This window comes from Homo sapiens, chromosome 10 (genome assembly GCF_000001405.40).
Source record: "Homo sapiens chromosome 10, GRCh38.p14 Primary Assembly".
Lineage (NCBI taxonomy): Eukaryota > Metazoa > Chordata > Mammalia > Primates > Hominidae > Homo > Homo sapiens.
Genome location: NC_000010.11, coordinates 128,470,458 through 128,491,934, shown reverse-complemented (window position 1 = coordinate 128,491,934; position 21,477 = coordinate 128,470,458). Strand labels below are relative to the sequence as shown.

At 50.7% G+C, this 21,477-nt stretch overlaps 2 annotated features.

The window, feature by feature from the left end:
• Positions 7,847–8,346: an enhancer, noted in NCBI's record as "H3K4me1 hESC enhancer chr10:130281853-130282352 (GRCh37/hg19 assembly coordinates)". NCBI's record gives its function as "activates a minimal SCP1, AML or CMV promoter by ChIP-STARR-seq in primed H9 embryonic stem cells {active_cell/tissue: H9 hESC(primed)}" and the evidence as "EXISTENCE:reporter gene assay evidence [ECO:0000049][PMID:30033119]".
• Positions 8,347–8,848: an enhancer, noted in NCBI's record as "H3K4me1 hESC enhancer chr10:130281351-130281852 (GRCh37/hg19 assembly coordinates)". NCBI's record gives its function as "activates a minimal SCP1, AML or CMV promoter by ChIP-STARR-seq in primed H9 embryonic stem cells {active_cell/tissue: H9 hESC(primed)}" and the evidence as "EXISTENCE:reporter gene assay evidence [ECO:0000049][PMID:30033119]".

Here is a 21,477-nt window from a genome sequence, read left to right as displayed (position 1 = left end):
GCACAGGCGCCAAGTGCCAGCCCCTCTGCCAATGATGCCAGAGATGATGTCATTGCCAGGACCCACGGCCGCTCTCCAAGGCTTTCCGCACAGACTGCTGCAGAGGCCCCACTCCCGGGGACCACTCTTGAGGTCCCCATGTCTTTGCATTAAGGTCTCAGGGGAGCATCATTCTTTAAAGGTCCAGCCCATGTCTGAGGGATGAGGGAGGCTGGCCTATGCAGCCATTGGGTTCTTGGCTTGACCTTGTACCTCACTGGCCTTGCACACCCTTCCTGGAGTGCCTGGGCCCACGCACAGCCTATGGGGGGGGGTGGGCACAGTGGGCAAGCCTTGATTGAGCAGGATAGGTTCATGGCCATTTTCAGGACAAAGAACTTGTAGTTTTGGTTTTGCAACCATCATCCCGAAGTTGAGAGTGACATCACTGGCGCAGAAGCCTGGACACCCCCACTGGTACAAATATAAAAGAAGGGAAAGGGCATTTTACAGCCTCAGGTTAAGCCACCTGGGCCTAAAACAGTAGCCATGGGGTGTTGATGGCCTGGGGAGCATGTTCACTGTGTGCGCTGGGTGGGCAGGAGAGGCTGCACCCATCCTCCGGGTCTTTGGAAACCAGGATTCCCTCCTTTCTCCTCACCTTCCCCAGTTCTTTGGCATCTCCCTGCAGTCTGCCTCTTACTAAATGTCTGGGTTTGATTTCTCAGAGTCTCAGCCCAGGGAACTGGAGTGGGAACAACTAGGGCAACAGGGCCATGATGAGAGTGGGTGCCACTCAGTCCACTAGGGCACTAGGAATGGACACAATAGCTCATGGATCGGCAGAAGAAATCCAGCACCATCAGAGTCTGTGCTAGGTCGAACAGCATCCTCAAAATTCTCATCCTCCTGAATCTGTTGTTGAAACCTTATTTGGTCATAAGGTATTTACTGATGGAATCAAGTTTAGATACGGTCATATCTGATTAGGGTACATCCTATATCCAACATGACTAGTGTCCTCATAGGAAGAGGGAAGTTGAGACACAGAGACACAAACACAGAGAGAGAACACAACCTGGGGATGGAGACAGAGATTGGAGCAATGGATCTACAAAGCCAAAGAACGCCAAGAGATCCTGCCACCATCAGAAGCTGGAAGGGAGGCAGAGAAGGACCCTCCCTCCCAGCCCCTGCTAGGAACCAAACTTGCTGACACCTTGGTTTAGGGCTTTTAGTCACCAGAACTGCAAAGGAAGGCATTTGCAGTGTTTCAAGCCACAGGTTGTGATATCTTCTCATGGAAGACACAGGGCATTAACTGGGGCCCTCGGCACCCTGCCCCTATCCAGGACAGAAACAGGGACATTGTCCACGAACTCATTAGGGAGGGTCTTTTGCCTGTGTGTATGCATGTAGAGGCCACAGGGATGACGCAGAGGACCCTGAAGGACAGGAGGCCAGGGCGCATGTCTCGCTTCTGTGTCAAACCATCCCTCTATTGTCCTTGATCTGATGGGTGAGCGGGTAAGGTTGCAGGGACAGGGTGCTCACAGTCTTTGGAGCAGCCCCATCTCACATGGTTGAATTCAGGCAACTGGCTCCAGACCTGTTCTCCAGATGGATCCATGGAGGTGTAGGTCCTCCCAGCTGTCTGTTGCTGGCACACTGGTGTCAGCTCGGGTGATTGCAGAAGAGCTGCAGCCAGGTTTCTGGGGCTGAACATCACTCACAGTTGTTTTGCAGATGCAACCATGGGCTGCCCTGGACCTGTGGCCCTAATTTGCATAATGGTCTTTGTCCAGAATGAGAGAGGGAAGGGGAGAAGGAGAGCAGCTGCCTCTTTCCGCTGGTCCTGCCGGCCAGGGCTGCGAAAGCTGATGCCATCTGTTGTAAGGGATTGACCCCTATTCCAAGGGGGCCAGGTGCTCCAGAAACCAGGAAAGAGACTGACTTCAGGAGGCAAAGTCCCTCTGAGAGCACCCGCTGCCAGGTTGCTGTCTCTGGGAGGCTGAGTCATGCCACCATGTTCACTGAGGCTGGCAGCTTCTGAAGTGTCCTCAGATGCTGGGGTCAGCTGGAAGATCTCGGAAGTGTCCATTCTACTTCTAAGCTGTTTTAGACATGACCACAAAGCCACCTTGCCGGCTACAGAGGGCGCCTTAATCCAGCTAAGGATCTAGCTCAGGGTCAATAGTAGATGTAGTTTCCCTGCTCAACTCAACCCAGGGCAAGAACTCTGGGCCCAGGCCTTGCCAGAGGAGGCTGAGAACCCAGATATGAGCCCCAGTATGGAGCAGAGGAGACCGCCGTTGGGGAGACCACTTCTCCACCAACTCCCCGTCACCCAAGGCACTGGCACTGTCTCCTCTCCACAGCCGAGCCTGAGCAGGTTCTGCAGAAAGCTCCCCAGGGAGGAGGGTGCACTGGGGCAGAACTCAGGACTAGCAAGCCCGCTGGGGCGGGGGCAAGGCTGGTGGCAAGAGACTCCTTGAGTAAAAATGCTGCCACCACCATTCTCACAGTGCCCTGGAGCCTGGGATGGAGCATGTGAGCTATACCTGCCCCCACCCCCTTCCCATCAGGTCATTCCACTGGGTACAATCAATTTCCTGCAAAAGTGGTTCAAGCTCAGTGCCAGGCTGTGCCTCATTCGTCCCTGAGCATTCAAGATCTCCCGGAGGGCAGGACAAAGTCCCCACCCCAGCCTCTCCCACAAAGATGCTGAGCATCATCGGAGCCTGAGATCTCCCTAGCGGTGCTGGAGACAGGCTCTACTGTAGGCCCTGGCTTCTGCAGTTTGCAGAGCAGCTATTACAGTGCAGACTTCTTAAACACATGATGCTTTGAAAAGTATGGCCTTGCTTGTAAAGCAGAGAGAGCACAGGATTTGGAATCAAAAAGAGATGTGAAGGCCAAATTAAGGCATGGCTGCAGAGAGACAGGGCTCCACCTCTCCTTGCTGGGGGACAACTCGATTCACTCTGCTGGACCTCAGTGTCCCCACCTGGAGATGAGGCGAAGCTGCAGAGTCCTCTGGGAAACAAAGTGCTTTGTAAACTCAAAAGGGCCCGGAAATGTGCCCTCCATTCACCCATGCCCCTGGGGACACGCCTCGTCTGGGCAAATGGAAACCCCAATACTTGGCTTCTTTCCTGGGCCTCTTAGGCCTACTCCTACATTTTGCTCTTCTTGGCACACTTGACTATGGAGAAGAAGGCCTCATTTATGGAAAAGTCTCACCCAGCAGACTCCATGTCCTTTGTTTATCTCCCAAGACTGTCAGTTCCTTGTTTACTTAAACAGAGATTTAATAAAAAGCAATAGAGAGTGGTCTTGCGGCTGCTGGCTCTCCCCTGCTCGCTCCTAAATGCCGGAGCATTCCTGACTCCCAGAGCATGCTCACTTTGGCAAGGCATGCCATAGGAATCTTTCCCTTTATTTTCTTTTGGACTGCAGGCTCTTTTGAGGGACCTAATATGGACTGAATGTTTGTTTTGCCCCAAAAGTCTTCTACTGAAGCCCTAATCCCTAATGTGATGGTATTTGGAGAAGGGACTTTTGAGAGGTGATAAGGATTAGCTGAGGTCATGAGAATGGGGCCCTGATGCAATAGGATTAGTGCCCTTAAAAGAAGAGACACCAGGGAGCTCTCTGTCTCTCTCCCCCTCCCTCTTTCTTTGAATGCCCAAAGAAGAGGTCACAGGAGCACACAGCAAGAAGGCCGCTGCCTACAAGCCAAGAGGAGAGGCCTCAGAATGAATCTACCAGGTCAGCACTTTGATCCTGGACTTCCCAGCCTCCAGAAATGTCAAAATAAATGTCTGTGGTTTAAGCCACTCAGCCTGTGAAATTTTGTTATGGCAGCCCGAGCAGACTAAGACAGGGCCCTTTCCTGGATTCCTGTCACCCAAGAGATTCAGTCCATTGCACCCCATTCCATGTCTGTCCACTTGGTCCTGAGAACACTAGAAACCTGGTCCAACCTGAATTGAATTTTTTGGCATTCTGGGGCTTATTGAGGCCCTGGAAGCTCTCATGGTTCGGAGTTTTTCCACAGCTCACACGGGCATGTCTCAGCACCCCTCTGTGTTCACGGGAGGTGCCAGCCTGTGGGGCGACCGCTCCAAGACTCCTGTCTCCTTGCTGCCAGTTCCTGCACAACGCGGCCTCCTGGGCCCATGGGCACTGCTAGCCAGGCCTGTTCCCTTCCAGTTGCAGCCGCAGCAGCAGCCTCATGGAAGTGAGGCGTGTGCTCCTCAGGGAGGGCAGAGCACATCAACGCAAGCGGTCAGCGCCCCATGCCCCTGGCACGGGCTGATGTACCAGCTGCAGCTCCAACAACTGTCATCTGACATCCTGACACAGATGAGCGCCAGGAGCTTGGAGGCCTGAGCAGCCCGCTGCTCTCTCCCACCACACCCAGACCCCCGGGTCCAGCCTCCAGCCAAACAGGTGTACAACAGCCTGTTGCAGCTCCTCTGAGAAGGCCATAGGGTCCGGAGAGGCCTCTGAGGGAAAAACAGATGAAAAGAACAAAGGCGGTTAGGCCTTGCGTTGACAAGCTCATTGATAACAGTTTAGGGGGAGCAGGCCTGCCTGGTGACAACAAATTGCTCCTAATGGCTTTTGCTGCCTGCAGGCCCCCATCAGAGAGAACAAGCTGTCAGGTTGGTCTAAGGCAGGCACATTCCTCTAAGCAGAGGGACCCCTCTTACTTCCCACTTCCCAGGGCTTGCCCTTGTGGGGACACTATGCGGCAGATGCAAGTAACCAGGAACCCAGCACTGGGGGAAGAGTCACGGTTTGAGTGATGACAGCTGTCAGGTTTCACATTCCAAATGTCAGCCTTGCTCAGGCATGCTAAGTGCATCCAGGTAAGCCCAGGTAAGCCATTACATTTTGCAACTTCATTTTGCAAGTACAGAAACTCCAATTCCGAAGGGTTCATTTTCCCAGGGTTGGATCATGGAGAGGGTGGCAGAGCTCAGCTCGGAAACTGCCTGGGTTCAACTCCAAACTGTGTGCCTTTTGTTGCTGTGCAAATGTGTCCCCATGTTGGAGGGAGGTCCTAGGGAATGTTCTCCCCTGGCAAGTTCAGGAAGTGGGTAGTGGTCCTTGGAGAAGGGTATGTGATATGGTTTGGATCAGTGTTTCTGCCCAAATCTCATGTCAAATTGTAATCCCCAGTGTTGGAGGTGGGGCCTGGTGGGAGGTAATTGAATCATGGGGTGGATCCTTCATGAATGGTTTAGCACCATCCTCTTGTTACTGTATAGTGAGTGAGTTCTCACGAGATCTGGTCATTTAAGTGTGTAATACCCCACATCTGTGTCTCTCTTGCTCCTGCTCCGACCACGTAAGATGTGCCTGCTTCCCTTTCACCTTCCGCCATGATTGTAAGTTTCCTGAGGCCTCCCCAGGAGCAGAAGCCCCTATGATTCCTGCACAGCCTGTAGATCCATGAGCCAATTAAACCTCTTTCCTTTATAAATTACCCAGTCTTGGGTATTTCCTTATAGCAGTGTGAGAACAGACTAATACAGTGTGTAACACAAATCCTGTCTCCTTGAAATGCCAACAGATATCTTCTTTAAGGAAAATGACAAGGCTTATAGAGGCTCAAGGAAAATATCTTATTTTCAAAAAGGAAAGCAACAAGACAAAGTCAAGCAGGGTTAGGGTGAGCCGGGAGACTGGGGCCAGTATCTGCAGGGAACTCCTCTTCTTTTATCCTCATGGCACCAGCTGGGACAATGTGGCCAACCTGTTTCTGGGGATTTGCTCTAGAGGAACATCTGCCTTGTCCCAGAAAAGCATATTCAGAAAAAGGCATGTGCATGCACAAGACTCTCAGCCTACCCCACTGGAAGTGCAGGTGACAGTGCCATTGTCCAGGGGGTAGTCAGCAGTGAGAGCAGCTTCAGCTGTGCCCAGCAAGGGCCTGCCATGGCACCACACCTACATCCCCTACCTCTGTGCCCTCACCTAGCAGGCCCCGGAGGCTGACAGGTGTCATTAGCCCACCCCACCCCATCAGCCAGCCCTTTCTCCCCCGACCCGAGTCAGAGGTGGGGGCTGATCTAAAAGGTCAGTGACTCTCTCACCTCCTGCTCAGACAGGGCTGGAGTTGGTGATGAGGACTTGCCCCAAAGATGCTCACCTCACTGGTCAAGTTTGCCCGTTTGAAGGTAAATAAAGATAGTGAGTACCAACGATGCAATCGCCGTGGGTGACTAATATAGTTAGTTCTGTGTCTCTACGAAATCTCATGTCAAATTGTAATCCCCAGTGGTGGAGGTGGGCCCTGTGGGGAGGTGACTGGATCATAGGGGTGGGATCTTCGAGTAGTTTAGCACCATTCCTCCCGATGCTGTTTCTGTGATAGTGAGGGAGTGAGTTCTCCTGAGATCTGATTGTTAAAAAGTGTGTGGCACCTCTTCCCTCTCCTCCTCCCAGTCCAGCCATGTAAAGTGCTGGCTCCCCCTTTACCTTCCACCACGATTGTGCGTTTCCTGAGGCCTCCCCAGAAGCAGAGGCTGCCGTGCTTCCTGTACGGCCTGCAGAACCATAAACCAATTAAACCTCTTTGCTTTGTAAAGGACCCAGTCTCAGGTATTTCTTTATAGCAATGTGAGAACGGGTTAATACAGTGACTATTTTCGGATAATGTGAATTAGAATAAAAATGCAGCACCTGATTTCCAGCCTAACGGTGGGTGGTGCATTCATCCATTGTTCATTCACTCATCTGTTGCCTCCCATGGTGGCTGCCTAGTAAGTAGCTCCATCCCACCCCTTTGTTTGGGGTGAATTAATAAAAACATTCACCTGCTACATTCACCTGTTGTGCCCTTTGGCTGCTGTAACCGATCAATAGCTACTTACTCTCTCACATCTGGCATCTATAAGTCTGAAATGAGTTTCACTGAGCTGAAATTAAGGCATAGGCAGAGCCACAATCCCTCAAGAGCCTCGAGGGGAGGATCCTTCCTTGCCTTTTCCAGCTGCTGGTGGCTGCCACCAAGTCTTGGCTTGTAGCTGCATCGCCCCAGTCTCCGCCTCTACAGTCACATTGCTGCTCCATCTTCTGGGGCAAATCTCTTTCTGCCTCCCAAGAGAACATTTGTGATTACATTGAGGGGTCACCCAGATAATCCAAGATCATCTCCCCATTTTGAGATTCTTAATTTATTTACATCTGCAAAGTCTTTGCTGGATAAGGGGCTGCTACTTAATCTACAACACCCACTACTACATGATCAGTTAATTGCAGGTACCCACATAATGGGATAAGATGCACTTATCAGATGTGGTGTTTTTCAAGATTTTGTTGTGTTTCCCCCATCCTCATGGTTCTGGAAGCTGCAGCTCCAGTCTGCAACCAGGCGGATTTGCTGCCACCTGGACCAGGAATGCCCTTGAGTGCCAGGACGATGGAGGCACTCATTTTCCTACTTGCTCTGTTCAGTGTTTTCCAAATGTTCACTAGGAAAGGATGTTACATTTTGCTGTCTGTCTTTTGTGGTCTTGTCCCTGTGTATCCTGGCACCCACAACACACATTGACCTGGAGCAGGTGCCCTACACCTGTTGAGTGAGTGGACCTTGAAGATGAGGGAAGACAGAGCATTTTAGATGGTGAGGGGAACCTGTCTGTGTCCCACCTCTGGGCTTCCTTGCTGCGTGCTGACCCATTGCCTAGCGCCCTTTGGCATACCCAGTGGGTGTGGGTGCCGCTGCCTCATTCTGCACCCTCTCTCATATTTCCTGTGCCTCCTTGGGTGGGTGCTAAGGAACTACCACTGGGTCATGCCCAAACCTCAGCCACTGGGTTGCACTGCTGGAATTTGCAGGAATCCTGACAATAAAGTCACACCCAGTGCAGTTGTGCGGCCTGTAGCAAGTGGGCCGTGACTTAGCGCCTGCCACATTTCTAACGCCCACGCAGGTAGGATGAGGGATGTTTTATTCCCCTTTTGCAGCTGAAGAAATTGAGGCTGGGAGAATTCAATCGCTTGCCCCAGGCCACTCAGCTGGGAAGGGCCAGAGATTCCCACCTGGGGCTGTGTAACTTCCCAGCCTGGAGTTTCCTCAGCAAACCAGGGCAAGACGAGTAGCCTAATAAAGCTGACCAAACTGGGTTGTGAAACACCGTATTTAAAGTTATGTTTTGTTTTCATTATTTTTATCTAAAACAATCAAACGTGGAAGGTGGGGTGGGGGAACCCTCTTCTAAAGGGCACCCGCCCACCCACAGGGTGTTTCCTCTGCACAGTGGGACTTTGCATTCACCAGATGTCGAACCAATGACGTGAGTTCCAGCCACGTCCTCAGCACCCTGCCGTGGGGCACGGCTGCCCATCCTGCTACTGTCTTCAAGTGCTCTAGGTTTCCTTTCCAGCGTTTAAAATTTAATTTGGTGCCAGTTTTCGGGGAATTCCTAGTTGGAAGCAGGGCAGCACCGGCGTCCACTTGCCACAGTGGCCGAGGCCTGGCAGCAGGAGCTTTCTTCCCAGGCTCCCGGGGGCATACACTGCTGTCACCCCAGGCCCTGCTCACTGCGGGCTGGTCCACGTGCCAGACCCTGCCATTTGGCACCCTCACTGGTCCTCGAGACAGCAGCAAGCAAAGCGTCGCCCTTGCAGGCCAGTACCAGCCAGGACGGGGCATCTGCCCAATCACTCTGGAGCGGCCCAGACTTCTGGATGGAAGCAGACTGCTTCCCTTTGATGCGCTTTTACTTACACCCTTTAAGAGCACTTAATTCACCCTGAAAGTGAAGTGGTTTATTTATGACCCCAGCTCTCGCGTGATGGTGAGTGGCGCCAACACACAGATGATTGTTTTTGGCTTCATCAGTTTTTGGTGATGTTTGCTCAACAACATTAAGCTGAAATATCGTTTGCCGGGGATCACTGCCCATCAGGCACTTAATTACATACAAAATTAGATTTCCTTGCAGTTTCACCGAAAGCCCAGGGCATTGGGATAATTACTAAGAGAAAAGATAAAAAATCAAGTTTATCCCCCAAACCATTCCACCAAATAGCAGCGAACAAAAGTATACAATGCTACCACTGAAATGTCCATCTCCTGCAAAGTCAAGGCATCGAGAGTTGGCCCCTCACCCTCACCCTGCCTGGCTAAAAAGCTGCACAGATGACAGCTGCTTCCAGGTAAGGCGGTGCGGGGGCCTTGAGGCTCTAGGACTCTTCTCAAAGCCCAACAAGGTCATTCCTTTTGAAAATTTCCAAAGGAGGCCATTGTGCCTTTCCAATTTTTTTTTTTTTAATGAGTAAAAAGACAGGGATTAAACAGAGACTGTATTTCTAGAACTTTGGAAGGAGAAGGGCCTGGTTCTGCTCACTAAGTGACCTTGGGTGACTCCTCGCCTCTCTGAGATACCCTCACCAGGAAGGTGGGGCAGCACGGCTCGCCTCCTAGGACTGCGGCGAAGCTTCCATGAGCTCATGTATGCAAAGCGCTTGGCTCAATCCCTGGCCTACACCAGGTGCACAAAAAGTGGGAACAGTTCTGATGACTGTTTTTGCAGGATTTTCGGAAGCAAAGGATTCCTGTGCCCTTGTTCAGCCTGGTGGTCCAAACACGCAGTTTTCTATTGACAGTGCTGTGCCCATACTCTCCGCTTGCTCTGTGCAAAGGAGGCTGGGCTCTGGCTCACCCCCAAGTGAAATGGGAGGAAGGTGGGGTTTGAGACCCCAGCGCTCAGCTCCTCTGCTCCTGCCCGCAGCAGTCTCCCTGCTAGGGAAGTCACTGACCACAGTGTTTGATTCCCTGCCCCACTGGGCACGAGGGAAGAAAGTGCTTTTGATGTGAAGTGATGGGGCAAGCCCCCACCCGCAAGCCCCCTTCATCTGTGTCTCTCTCCATTACCTTGCAGACGTTTCCCTAAACAGAGACCAGCTTCTCCTGGGAAGCAACTGGCTGCCAGCCTGTTCTCTCCAGGCCCTGAGGGCCCAGTGGAGGGTCCGTGCTGGGCTGCAGCTGAATTTCAGGGCGTGGGGCTGGGTTCCCACCGTGCATATGTTCTGCACTCTCGGCTGAGGCCAGATGAAGCTGTACACTGTTTAAGGGCCAACCTGGGTAAGCAGGAGAGCACAAAAACATGATACCTCTGGAAGGCTGGAGGCAAGATTCATTTAAACGGCTTCCACTGTCATCGGTGTCACCAAGCTGAAGCTTGTCTTGTTTACCGGATGAAGGTTTCACACTGTGTCAACGTTCTGCCAGAATCCAGCATTAAAATGAGCAGTTAGTACAAGTCAGCCATAAACATGGCAGATCCGCGAGACGGGCAGAAGCCACTCTGAGATCCCCGGTGCAGCTTTTAAGCACTTGGCATGCTGCTCGCTCAAACTGGAGAGGGGGCTGTGTGCATCATTTGGGCCCGAGTGCAATGCACTTGAAATAATTACTTTAATCAGCAAAAGTTAATTACTTTAAATCATAAATTAATGGCAGAGCATTTGGCAGAGCCAAATGTGTGTGGCGAGGCTGTCAACGGAAAACCCAGGTGAACCTGCGACCCTGCCTCGGCACCGCCAGCGGAAGCCGGGGCCCACCTACTGTGCGTGCCACTTCTGTGCCGTCAGGAAGAACTCTTTGTAACCGGAGAAGAGCCACCTTAAACTGTCACCTATAAAAAAAGGAGCCATAAACAAGCAGACTGCTGCTAAGCAGGTGCTGCTGGAGAAGCCGGCCCTTGACAATAATAAGATCTTAAAATGGCATCTGCCTTTATTTTATAGCACAATTGGAAAGATGGTTAAAAGTAATAAACCCAGCTGATATGTTTTATGAGTTGGTAGTTAGCAGTGTTTACTGTGGATGAAGATTTCGGAGAAGATACTGTCACCCCAAATGCAGCCCCTCCTCAGCATTCAGAGATCTGAGCCTCTCAGAGCGGAAGCAGCAGCCGCTGCACTGATGTTTTCTTCCATCCCTGTTCTGGCATTTCAAAGAAGCAGCCAGAGTGATTTGGAGAGGAAAGGAGAGGTTCTTCCGAAGAAAGGGGGAAGCCTTTATGAACACATGCTTAGCCTGGATCAGCCTGGAGTGCCTGCGTGCTGGGGGCTTGGAGCACTGCAGACGATGCAAATGGCTGATCAGGGGCGCTGGGCCGGGTTGCCCACAACCTCTTTCAGGTGTCAAGCAATGTGGATACAACTCGCAGGCACAGGGAGAGGAGGAGCTGGCTAGGGAATGGGGTCTGCAGGGAGAGCGTGGAGCACTGGAACTTTCGGGATGTGAGAGTATGGTCATGGTGCAGTCTTCCCCCATGGGGCCAAGCACATGATGGCATTCATTCCCGGCCATTCATTCATTCAGCAGAGACCAAGGAGCTGCCTGTGTACAGAGCTCATTCCAGGCACTGAAAATAGAACCAGGAGCAAATCGGACTCAGTTTCTGTCCTCTCGACCCTTACAGTTCAGTTGCAGGGAGCAAACAATTAAATATTGCAAATAAAGTGTCATTGGGCTGTGATATGAGAAGGGCAAGATGTGGGTCACACTGGCACATGTGTGAGAAAATGTACTGACTTGGAAGGGGCCCCAGATAAAATCTCTAGCTGACTTATTGGGAGACCGTGCACATCATCTTAGCTTTATAACTGCAGCTTCTATAGATTGTCAGCAATGGATTGATTAAATATTTCCCAATCACCAGGACTGGATTAAGAACTTCAAAGGCCTAAGCAGACCATGATGATCCTCCTGTCCACACATAACACAGCTAAAAGCAAAGCACACACCGTGCGCCCTGTGCTGCAGCAAAAGCATCTTTGTTTCTGGGTTCTCCCAATGCTAACAGCAAAGCCCTGAGTGCAGAGCCTGCTGCTGGGAGATCCAGGCCTTCCAAGCACTCCAAAATCTCACCCAATTCTGGAGGGTTGCATGCCAAACTTCACACACACACACACACACACACACACACACACACACACACGTGCGTGCCTCGCCCATGCAGATAGAATCCTACCAAGTCCCTGGCGATCCAGATGGAAGCAGGTACTCAGACCTCCCAGTCTGTAGTGAAAAGTCCACCTGCAGGAGCCACTGTGCCCATGCTGGCAGGTGTGGCTCCCAAGAGAGTCTGGCAGGCCCTGAAGTGCTTGCTGGCAACAAGGACAAACCCGACATCTTGGTCTTTGGGCTGAAACTCCAGTGGGCTCTTATGTGGAATAACAGCAGGAGACCTGGGTTTCACCTCTGGCTCTGCGTGGCTTTAACCAGCTCTGCCAATCCTGGCCTCAGGCAACTTCTCCAAAAATGAAAGTGGACAGGAGGACCAAGAAGGTGCTCTCAGGGCCCACTGGTTCTCCAGTCCCAGGGAGGAGCAGCCCCTGTTCATGCACTGAGATGGGCCTGGGGTGGCTGGCTCCGTTTTCCGAGAACACACAGTGCAATCCCACAACTAGCAGGTGACCCGGGCTCATGTCCTGGATGGCTTCCCTCACTCATCCCAAGTCTCGGGAAATCTGTGCCAGACTCTGACTCCTCCTTGGGGAGTTTCCTCTATCAACCAAACCCATTAGCACCCCACCATGTAGTACTCAACTTCGGCCTTAAGGACAATGGAACTCAGGTCTGAGTTTAGCAGATCTTGAGCTGTGTGACTTAGGACTAGTTATGTAAGCTATTAGCGTCACCTACTCATTTGCATGTTGGAAATGACAGTACTAACATCAGGGCATCCTGCAATAATTAAAAGCAACAAACTTAAGGAGGTGCCTAGCACACTTCCGGGAATATGGCAGGTGCTTGGTAACTACTGACTAACAAAAACTGATCATCCAGGCATCGTTGCTCTCTTGGGTCTACCCTGACCATTTCCACCCCCTCTAATTGACATCTTCAGAACCCTGCCATACTTGCCCGTACCGTGGACTATGTGATGGCACATTCCACACAATGGTGCCCACACCCACTGTCCGTTGTTGGTGATGTGGCTTAGCTGGGCTAGATATGCTCTGACAGCAGGAAAGTCCCTGGCCTGACCTCTGTGTAACCAGCTCAAGGCAGGTGAACAGAGAACAGAGGTCCTTAGGGGCTTGAGCCACTGGGAGAGCCACCCTGGCCGGGTACATTTAGACACGGAACTGGGCTTATAAGGGGCCCTCCATCCAATTTGCTGGCCTTTAGGATGAGCAGAGAGGTGCTCTGTGTTGTCTTCAGTGTATAAAAAAGAATATCTCTGCACAGAGTCCATATCTCAAAAAAGTGTAGAATGCTAGAAATAAAGTGTTATCCCAGCCGAGCACAAGAATGAGATGAGGTTGGGATGCACTCTGGAGGATCCATCACCCAGCCCCGGAACGAGGGGGCTCAGAACTGGCAGAGGGGTGCTTTCCTAGGTGCAAGATGCAATCATATGTAGCAAGAAACATCTAAGAGTTACCAAATAAAAAATAACGTCGCAGAAAATGAGAAACATTTTTCCTGTGCCATTAACATCAGGGACTTGAGTTCTTGAGTACTTGGGATATTGCACCTGTTCAGAATTCCATTCTGTTCTGATCAGTCACAAGTATTTTGGCAGAACCATCGTTAGCCAACCTCATCTTCAAAATACTCTGGGTCAGATTTAGTCTCGGGTCCCACATGGGAAATTTCCACTTTCATCAAAGTTTATCAACAGCTCACAGGTCCACTCTCACATTGCAGGGTTCCAATTAAATTTGGCCTGGAATGAGACCTCATCTTCTTCATGATTTTCTTAGGATTATGATAAAACTTGAACCCAGCAATGTCTAATAGATCTTTCTGCAATGATGGAAATGGTCTATCGCTGAGCTTTCCAATATGGTAGTCACTGACCATCTGTTGAGCACATGAAATGTGGCTTGTGTGACTGAAGAACTGTATTTCAAATTTTGTTTAATTTTCATTAATTTAAATGTATAGAACCCTGTGCGGCTGTGTTAACATCACAGTGCTCACCAATGCCACCATACTTTACATTAGGAATGGCAACCAGAGAGTCTTACATTTGTAAACAGTACTTGGGAGGAGTGATTTTAAATGCAGTGAGTCTCCATCTAACTGGGTCATCACCATCATGGGGGAATTTCTGCATTAAGGATAGACGTTACTGCTACTGTCCACATTTCACATTGGTTGGCCCAAGAGGAGGCAACTGATATCTGGGGAAAGATGCCTTTAATTCCAACACATAAGCATACCTCGTCCATCAGGTTAAAAAATGGGATTTGTCTTGGAGGTATTCAACAGGTACATGGTGTTCCACACCCTTAGACACTAGAAACCAAAACACAGGCTGTTAAGTTATCCCCAGCTAGAAAACAATAAACACAACACAGTTTCATACCAAGTTAAATGCATGAAGACTATTTTTGTGATTTTTGAAGATCAGAGAAAATTAAATGTGAATTTTGCATAAAAAAGGCCAACATTTGCAATCTCACAAAAACATTTCAAAATGAATGCATGTCTCCCAGTGGTGCCCAATCTCCCAAGGTATCATTTTTTTCCTTACTGAAAATCCTATAATAGCTCTGGATGAATAAATGATGGGGGAGGCAGTGTGAGACCTACCACCTTTCTTTTCCTCCCAGCTGGGAGAACTCTGGCACAGAAATGGAAGCAAAATAGCTCATCCACCTTCTCTAGTAAATCCCAGAGAAGTTGAATAGAAAACACACCTGTGGCCTATAAGCCCCATAATTAGAGTGGGGTGCAAGGGGGTCTCTGTTGGGAGTGTGCTGGAAGGATCAACCAATTAGCTTCCCTCTTCTTGGTGGCACTCTGAGCTCCTTAACCTAGAGTGCCCTCTTGAGAATGAGCCCTGGAGGGCCTGAGGAGCAGAAGAGAGGTGGCGAGCTGCAGGTGGCTCAAGGCAAATCTCACTCCCGTGCTGGGAACGACTTACCAAGGCCATGTCAGAGCACATGGCTGACCAAGAGGAAGGCATCCCTAGGGAGCCCGGGTTCCTGGCTATTACTGCAGTTGCAGGCACAGAATCTAAGCAGAAAAGCTCAGAAATAAATGCAACCAGAACAATCCCACACAAACTACAAGTTCTGCCTTGCACCAAACTTTAATCTTTTCCCTCAGGCATCTACTCAAGGAGCATTATTTAATTTAATTTTTTTTTTTTTTACTTTTAATATTCTGCCCTCAATGTGCCACAAAGCAACTTCATGCAAAGAACGAATGGACTTACCAGGAGGACTCATTTGTCTTCAGCCCCTACCTGGGCTGTTTTAAATTAGAGAGCACCCAGCATGGGGAGCCAGTGCTATTTTAATCATTCCAATGTGTCCAGTGCGGGAGATGAACTCAAAGGTGAATATTAAAAGTAGTTGTGGAATTCAGTCATTTCACGAACGAGAACGTAATAGCCAAAGGCAAAACCGGAAGGCAACTTCACTTCCAATCAGTGTTCCCATTTTATTGAAACCAGATTGGAATTCCTGGAAGGAAGCCTACAGATCACATCTTTAATACTCATTTTCATATACTCCAGTAAAACTGTCAGGGTGAATCAGTTGTTGAAGAAGGCTTCCTGTATAATTTACAGACGTGCCTCCCCGTAGCCCATTATTTAGACCTGAAACAGAAATATGTTTTTGATCAAGCTCAGAGACTTCCTCTCACCTGCCCAGGTTTTCCTTGGCTTTAATCTGTCGATTAATACTGGCCTCTGCACACTGCACTGACCTGCCACGCCGGGACATTAATCCCCACACACGCAGCGGAGGGGCCGGACGGCTCGCCACTGCCCGGGCTCCTCAGGGGACGCGGTGCATAGCGTCTGTACCTGAGAAAACCCAAACCTCCTCGGCTGGCTTTTCTTTCTCAGGGGAATGGGGTGGCAGGCTGAGGCGTGGTGGGTCTCTCAGGGAGTTCTGGGTGCCTGGCCTCTGTACAGGCAGGGAGAAGAAATGTGTGTGTTGAGGTGGGGTCAGACGACACCGCAGGGGGTTGGAGCCCAGCTAGCTTCTCCTTCCTTCCTTAGAAACAGGTCTGAGCAAGTCACTGTTTATACCAACCACTCCTGTCTCGCCCCCATGTTGGATTCCCAGGAAGTCCTGTCTGCGGCGCGGGCCAGGGTGGCTGGACAGCCTGCCAACACCGCCCTGTGGAAAGGCTTAGGGGAGTCCGGAGCAGTAGTTTCGAGCTCCCTATGCTGCCTTCTTTTCCACCTTACATTCTGTCATCTTAAGAAACCAGGGTGTCAGGAGTGGTGGCCAGGAAGGCAGATTTCCAGGACACCCCCGGGGCTTGCGGGCTGGTGCTGCAGGCGACAGGGCACCAACCGAGGTGCTGCCACAGCTCCAGCCACCACCCTGCTGCCCTTTTTCTTGGGAGGTCTGATCTGTGTACGAGGCAATTTGCTAAGCTCAAGGATTTTGGCTTTCAAAGAGCAGAGGATCCTTTGCTGTTCCCAAACGATGGCTTTTGGGCCATTTTTTTAAAGGAGAGAAGACCCCAAATTCAATGAAAATGCATCTAAAAAAATGAAGCCTGGGAGATCATCCCAGAGACCCAGGGGCTCTCTCCTTCTGAGACATCCCTAGCAGAATGGTGACCATAGGCTCTAAGGCCAGGCTGCCAGGGTTTAAGGCCCAGCTCTATGATAGCACAGCCACTCATCCCCAAGCCTGCGCCTTCTCTTCATGCACCTCCGTTTATTGATCTGTAGAGTGGGAGTGACAGTGGGAGTGACACCACGCATGACTGTGGCGGGATCCCATGGGACAGTGTGGCCAAGTGCTCACACTCAGTAGAGAAAGGGCTGTCATCCCACCTTCAATGGCATCTTACTTGGAGAACTGTTTCTGGGCCTTCCACAAGGCCATGGCTGGCCTGCGGGTCAGAGCCCTGGCTGGAAGCAGAAGGGGGACGGGCCAACCAGGCCAGGCCGGGACCCTGCGGCTCATCACCAGGGTGAGCTCCTGCCTGGGTGGTAGCCAGTGAGAAACTGCTGTGGCCATTGTCTCTGGGAGAAAAGAAAGGTGATCAAAGCAAGGAGACCACCATATTTTCCCTGCAAAACTTGCTGGAGACTCTCCGCATGAGGACAGAGACCTGGGGCTGGGTCTTGACCCTGCCTGTAAGGTTCAGGTTTGTCGTCTACAAGAAGGAATTTTCCACGACTCCTCCCTCACCTAGATTACATAATTACCACAGGAACGTGGACAAACGTGCAGAGAAGAGCACCATGGGGCTCCAGGTGCAAGGCAGAGAGGAAGGGAGGCCCAGTGTGAGCCAGGAGGGCAGCTGCTCCACTGCATCACCTTCGCCAAGGCTGGCTTTTCTACTACCATGTTGACTTGTCACTCACTAAACACACACACACTACAATAAAATAGTAAGATGTTACAACAAGAAAACAGCTAATGTCAGAGTGAACACTAAAAAAAACTCTGTGTGTAAACAAAAATTCAGTGTCGGCCTTTATCTTATACGCAAAAAGCAGGGTGGAGTTTGAATTATCACATACTTACCGATATGACCAAGAAGGTAAGTGGCCTTTTCCTATAAGGGTGACCTGGGAAAGCTCAGAACACCCATGCCCCCAGGTGGGCCCTGCTGAGTGGTCTGAAGGAATGACACCCACAATAGATATGCTTAGGTTTGGGCTGGAAATGCAAAGACTTGGCAGGTTCCATTCATTCGAGTGATACATCCACCTTGACTGTCCCCTGAAAGCCAACCACCCACTTCGTGAGAGGCACAGTCTCCCCCAGTTGTTTCGGGAGAAGGCAGGGTATAAATTAAAATGTGCTAAGGAGATGCAAAGGCAAAGCGTGGGTTGCACATTCAGCTCCTCCCGGGACATGGCGAGGAATTGAGCTCTTCCTTGCCAAGTCAAGACTTCCAAGAACAGGCCACATGGATTTCACATCTAGTGGTTTGTGGTGTAATCAAAGTTGGCTGGCTACTTACCTACCTTGTCTCCACAGTGAGCTGGGGGCTACAGGCGAGCCTGCATTTCATGGAAAAATCCACGGATATTGCTCTATTTACCCAAGGCCAAGAGTCCCTGTGCATCATTGTTGCCTCCAACCCAAGTACCCAATACTCAATACAGTACATTCCAGCGGAGTGACCCCTGACTACAGCCTGCCAGGTGCATACAGTGAGGTAAACCAGCAAAAAGAACAATGGAAGGGATGTTCACTTTCTTTAAATACTTGCAAAACTCCTGAAAGGTCAAAGAAAGGTTTGGGTCATTGGTGGCAAAGTATCGTCTAGCTCTTCATATCTCTTTATCTATCATGTGCATGCATACACACTCATGCACACCTGCATAGACACACATGCACACACGCCCGGCAGGGGCACACCCACTCGCAGCACTGGGCAGTCAGTGAGAGTGCTCCGGCTGTCTCCATCCAAACACGCGCGGCTGGGTTTCAAACGCTTGCAGGGAGTTTTACTCTTAGAGTGAACCAGCAAATGGGCAATGGATTCTGGAGCTCACTGGGCCGATGACAATAGAAACAGATGGGAGGAATAACATGGGGAGCTGTCCATAAGGCACTCAGAAGAACCCTAGAGCCACTGGACGATTAGGAAGGTTGCAGGAACCTGCTGTGTACAAGGCTACTCGCCTCAGAGGCCCCTTCCTGCCATGCCGTCCACCAACTTCCCCAGACTTCACGTTTTTCTGTAAGCATTGGGCATTCTCTTGAAATCCATTCAAACCTGAGCCCCAGGGGCAGACTGTGACCTCTGGAAAGCCCTGTGCCCAGTAACCTTCTCCCCTTTACCCTGGAAACTGATACCTACAAGGCCACAGAGAGAACAGTCTCATATTACTCAGCTAAAACAATCCCAAAATTCAAATTTCCACTAAGTATATAATATCTCTGCTTAAATTTACACAACAGTAGAAATGACCGAGACCACATTCTTTCCTAAGAACACGCCTGGTGGACCAAGGCAGATCACCTTTACAGGAATCAAGGAACAAAGCTGCTGTGTATTGAGCATCCACAATACCCTTTGTTCCATGAACTTGTTAAATCTTCACAATGCTCTTATGAGGGAAATATCTGCATTGCCATTTACAGGTGAAGAAACCAAAGCCTAGAAGAGTGAAGTCCCTCCCCAGGGGGGACACAGCCAGGAGAATACAATTGAAGCTGCCAGTTGGCCAAGGTCTACCAACTCCCTAACCTTGGCCCGTTGCTCTGCTTAATCCCAAATATGCATCTGTGGTCCCCAAGGTCCTGAGTGCAGCCACCATCCTGATGCCATGGAGGAGTCAGGGAAGCCCAAACTGTAAGATATGGTGGGATCTCCAGGTGGGTGCAATGTGTTTCAGGAGTAAGGTAGGGATCGAACAGAATTGCCCAACAGGGAAGACCACAGCCCTGGACGGGTGGGTTTCTGCCACCGTGGGGCAGCCGCTCTTCCTCTGCCTGCTGAAGACAGCTGAGACAGGGTTTGTGGCTTTCCTAGGGCCAACAGGAGGCAGGTGGAGCGGCTACCAGGCAGTCAGGGCCCACAGCAGTTATCGCAAAGGGAGGACCGCTCCACTTGAACGACCTGAACAGGTGCTTTCTGGGTCCCAAAAGTCTTGTCGCCCAGAAAGGATGAGACTTCAGTCGGCTGGCTTTCTGGAGAAACCAAGGGACAGTTTCCAGAACCCTCAGAGACGGCCTCAATCCCAGATCCCAGGGGAGGGCCACGGTGGGCTGTGGCAGCTGGTGGAAATGCAGGTAGGCAATGGTGCAGCTCTGGGTGTCTCCAGGTTTCAGGCTCCCACGCAGATTCAACTAGAAAAAATAGGTGTGTATATGCATTTGCACGAGTGTGTATGTGTGAGACTGTGTGGGAATGTATGTGGGTGTGTGTGGGGGGGTGTGTTTGCCTGTGTTTGTGTGTATCTGTTTGGGAGTAAGTGTATGTATTTCTGTGTGTGAGTGTGGGTTTGTGTGTGTGAGCATGTGTTTGTGGGTATGTGTGTGAGTGCGTGTGGATTTGCGTTTATGAATGTGTGGGTATGTGTTGTGTGTATGTGTGTGAGTGTGTATGGATATGTGTTTGTGTGTGTTTGGGTATGTTTTTGTGTGTGACTGTGTGTATGTATGTGTTTGTATGTATTTGTGTGTATAAGTATGTGTGTTTGTGGGTCAGTGTGTATTTGTGTGTATGTTTGTGTGTATGTATGTGTGTGTTTGTATGTGAGTGTATCTGTGTGTGCCTGTGTGTGTTTATGCATGTTTGTGTATGTGTCTGTGTCAGTGTGTGTGTGTGTCCATGTGTATGTGTGTGTCTGTGTGCCAGTGTGTATGTGTGGGTATGAATCTGTGTGTGTCAATGTGTGTTTGTATGTCTTGTGTATGTCAGTGTGTTTGTGTGTGTATGTATCTGTTTGTGTATGTAAGTGTGTCTGTGTGTGCCTGTGTGTGAATTTATGTGTGAATGTGTGTGTCTGTGTGTATGTGTTTGCATGTGTGTCCGTGTGTGTGTCTGTGTATGCCAGTGTATAAGCGCATGAGTGCGTGTGTGTGTGTGGGGGGGATGGCTTTGAATTTCCCTCACAGACCAATGGAAACAGGCTGAGGCGGCCCAGTGGGCTCCCCAGCCGTGGCACTGAAGGTTTGTGGAGCCGCCGGCGTGGCAGGGCTGAGCTGAGGCACGTCCCTTCTGGGTCTCAGGATGCTGGCTTTGTCTAGAAAAGTTCAGCCTCTTCTAAGATACAGGGACATCGTTTGTGCCCAGAATGATCCCTGGCTGCCCACAGCCGTGAAAGGGCCCATTCCTTGGAAATCCTGAGAAAACACATCCGCATTGTGTAATGAGGATGAATGCCATCCGTGGACAATTAATATTTCACCACTCCGCCTTCATTGCCAAAAAAAGTTTATTTTCAAGGTGAGGATTTTTTTCATGCTTATTTTTAAACTCTTGGCATAATGACGGAATGGCTGATACATGATGGATACATTTTTAAAAGGCTTCTTTGAAAAGCCATTCAAAGCTGAGCTTGAACAGGGGAACCGGGGGCTGGAGGGGGCGTGCAGGGCTGGCCAGGGCCCCTCCCGCCCGTGCCAGCTCCGCGCTCTGACAGAACAAGTGTTGCATGAGATGTGAAGGATGACTGTGGCGGCCTGGAAGCCCTGGAGCAGGTGTTCCTCGTCCGCATTTGCAGAGGAGCGTGGTCCCCGGCTCAGCCAGCCGCAGCCAGCGCCTGGCAGCCCCTCCTGTACCTGCGTGCAGAGAGGCGCTAATGATAATGGATGCGGCCCGATTAGCCAGCCCATTTGGAACGGGATACCGTGGCCTGGCTGGACGTGCCAGTCAGAGGCTCGCACAGGGGAAGCAGGCCTGCTCGGGTCCCAAGGGCTCTGGGCTGTCCCTGGGGTGCCTGCGCTCAGCACTGGGACGGGCATGGCTCTGAGAGAGAGAGCAGGGCGCTGGACTGGGAGTCTCCTCTGGACTCTGCTGTGCCGGGAGTGGCCTGAATCCCTATTTAATAACACCGGGGGACCCGTGGC